The sequence below is a fragment of the Homo sapiens genome, chromosome 4, assembly GCF_000001405.40.
Source record: "Homo sapiens chromosome 4, GRCh38.p14 Primary Assembly".
Taxonomy (NCBI): Eukaryota; Metazoa; Chordata; class Mammalia; order Primates; family Hominidae; genus Homo; species Homo sapiens.
The window spans coordinates 152,182,719-152,186,420 of record NC_000004.12 but is presented as its reverse complement, the minus strand read 5'-3'; positions in this window follow the sequence as shown (position 1 = coordinate 152,186,420).

The following is a 3,702-nucleotide window of genomic DNA, read 5'->3' as shown; positions in this document are numbered from 1 at the left end:
GGTTGAGGCTAACTTGGAATTGGACGTGTCCTTCCATTCATGTACCACAGGCCCAGAGTGAATCACAAAGCCACAGAGAAGATTGAGAAATACAGACTCAAGCTGAGAAGCCACGTGGCCAGCCGACACTCCAGAGGGCCTGGGTGTCCTGGGGAGGGACTCATAGAAGAATGAGGCTGGAGAGGGTAGGGAGGCCTCCACCCTCTGGGGTGATCCTAGCAGCCCACCATCCATGACAGCCACGGAAGAGAGAGGCCAACCCGCAGAGTTATTCAGGGACAGAATGGACACAGTCGTGTTACTGTTTGCACCTAGGGACAGAGTTAAAGTGAATTACAAGGTTGGAGCATGGTGGCTTGGGAAATGGTGAGATCATGAAGGAAAGGGGGAAATCAGGAGGGACAGCTGGTGTGCTGGGGTGGGGCAGAGGGAAGAGATGGCCAAGGAAGACTCAGAGGTTCTATCCTACGAGATGTTTAATAATAGAGGAGGCAGCTGTCCCTGCTGTTGAGGGTGTGGCTTTGTCTGAAACCAGGGAGCTAAAAGGAACAGTTTGTCTTAAACAGAAGATTGAATGTTTTGAAGGTAAAACGAAGCAGGAGTTGGTGTCTGAGAGGCAATGGCTGGAATCTCTCTTACCATCCACATTTCAGACAAGATTCTCCCATCTCCACTCTCTCCACTGGCCAGTGACATCTGCAGTGCCCACCGTGGGCTATCGCCACCTCCTCTTTACCACAACCCACACTTTCCCCATTTCTAGATCTGAGCTGCTCAACCTTTTACTGCTTTTTATCCTGTATTTGAAAACAAGGTTCCATGCAGAATGAAAGATCAGGAACATGGGTTCAACTCTTAGGCACTGCAGTGAGTTGAGGGAGTTTGGGGTGGGGAGAGCTGAGGGGTCCCAGTGTTTGCCAAAGTCATCAGAGGAAAACACACATCAAATGCGTGTTGCTTTCTGTGCATAGGCAACAATCCCTCTGTGGTTTCAACTGGGGGAAGTAAGCTGCTTCCTTGTGGAGATTAGAAGCTCCTTAAAGGTAGTGGCCACGCCTCCTACTTCCATGCTTCCCCAGCTGTTCCTAATGGTGCTGGAGAGGTAGGTATTTGTTAAATTAATAACCACCTGGACCTAATGCAGTGTCAAGGGGTTACATATGGATTCCTCCAGCAAAGGGTGACTTTCTTTAACCAACTCCTTAAACCTCCCCATATATACCCACTGCTAGATGCAGGACTTCTTTCTCTAAGTCAAGAATCCATAAGGTTTCTGCCAAGTATAGGAAAGTATGATGCAGCAAGGTATGGGACCTTGTACAAGTCTTTTAATTTTTCTGGCCTCAGTTTTCTCATCTGAAAATGACAGTAGGGGCTGGATTAGGTGATATCTAACAACATTTTGCAGCACTGGTATTCTAGATTCTCTCTTAGATCAAGCTGCTTGTTTTCCAGGTATTTTTGAGACATTTGAGTTTGCAACTTCCCTCCTCCACCTTTTTTCTTTTTCTTTTTTTGGAAGTAGAGTGTCTTAGTCCATTCAGGCTGCTATAACAAAATACCATAAAGGGGGTGGCTTATAAACAACAGAAATTTCTCAGTTCTAGAGACTGGGAAGTTCAAGATCAAGGCACCAGCAGATTTGGTGTTTGGCAAAAGCCTGATTTCTGGTTCATAGACGGTTCCCTCTTGCTGTGTCCTCGCATGGTAAAAGTGGCCAACAAGCTCCCTTGGGCCTCTTTATAAGGATACTAATCTCATTCCTGGGGACTGCCCTCATGACCTAATCACCTTCCCAAACCCTTCCTCCTAATACCGTCACCTTGGGGGTTAGGATTCCAACACAGGAATTTGGGAGGGACACAAACATTCATATACAACATAGAATATTCTCTACAGCGTGTTTTCTGGTCTTAGGTGAAAGCCATTCACATGATTCTGGTTGTGTGGGGATATGAGTACAGGTATGAAAGCAAATGATCAAATAGATAGCTATTGTATTGTATGCAGTATTCAACTGCTGCATAATAAATTGCCACAAAGATAGTGTCTTGCAACAACACAAATTTATTGTCTCCCAGTTGTTGTGGGTTAGGAGTCCAGGACAGACTAGCTGGGCCCTCTGCTCAGGGTCTCACCAGACTGAAGTCCAGATGTTGGCTGGAGCTGTGATCTCATTTGCTATGTCCTGAATGTTTGTGGCCCCCCAGTTTCGTACATTGAAACTTAATGTGGTCATATTAAGAGGTGGGGCCTTTGGGAGGTACTTAGATCAGGAGGGCTCTGCCCTCATGAATGGGATTAGTGCCCTTATACAAGGCCCAAAGGAACTTTTTGGCCCCTTCCACCCTGTAAGGATGCATAGAAGGCGCCTTCTTTGAAGTGGAGAGTGAGCCCTAACCAGACGCTGAATCTGCTGGTGACTTGGTCTTGGACTTCACAGCTTCCACAGCTGTAAGCAATAAATTTCTGTTGTTTACAGATTACCCAGTCTAAGATGTTAAAATTTGTGGGAGGCTATTGTTTCAGACTGAACTCCTGCACTAGGACCCAGTGGACCAGACAAAAGCAGAATGGAGGCACTCATGTTAAGTGCCACATAGTCAAACTTAAACTTCAAAAAATAGGGGAAATCCCCAAGCAGGCAAGTTAAAAAAAAGAAAGAAAAAAGGGATTCACAGCAACCAATCAAAAGGGACTGAGTCAAGCTGAGCCAGCATGATAAGGAAGTTCTGTCTACTTCAACCTACACAAGAAAGGTAACTTTGAAATGACCAATGTGCTCTTTGTCCTTTCTTTTTGCTTTCCTCAGCATTTTGCTGCCTGTAAAGCCCACCCCCTCTGCTCAGCTCAGCGGAGCTCCTTTTATTTCATAGACAGGATGTTGCCCAATTCATGAATCACTAATAAAAGCCAATTAGATCTTTAAAACTCAATTTGCTGAAATTTTGTTCTTTGACAATGGCATTTTGTTACAGCAGCAGGAATGGACTGAGACATCTTCGGAAGCTTGGCTCCTCCTCTAAATTCATTCAGGTGGTTGGCGGGATTCAGTTCCCTGTGATTAGAAGACTGTGGGCCAGGCCCGGTGGCTCACACCTGTAATCCCAGCACTTTGGGAGGCCGAGGCGGGCAGATCACGAGGTTAGGAGATCGAGACCATCCTGGCTATCATGGTGAAACCCCATCTCTACTAAAACTACAAAAGGAAATTAGCTGAGCATGGTGGCAGGTGCCTATAGTCCCAGCTACTAGGGAGGCTGAGGCAGGAGAATGGCGTGAACCCAGGAGGCAGAGTTTGCAGTGAGTCGAGATCACACCACTGCACTCCAGCCTGAGTGACAGACAAACTCCATCTCAAAAAAAAAAAAAAAAAAGAAGACTGTGGTCTCCATTTACTTGCTGGATCTCTGCTGGGATCACACTCCTGGGGTTTGGCCTCAGGTCCTAGCCTTTGTCCCTTTCATAGCACGGCAGGTCACTTCTTCAAGGCCAGCAGGAGAGCATCTGCAGCTGCTTCTGGTCTCCTTTAAGGGCTTACCTGCTTAGGTCAGGCTCACCTGGAATCATCTTCCTTTTAATAACCTCAAAGTCAGCTGATTACAGACCTTGATTACATCTTCAGAATCCCTTTGCCCTATATCAGAGAGGGATATTCCATTGTGTTCATGGGTCACAGCTACACTCAAGGGAAGGAGATTC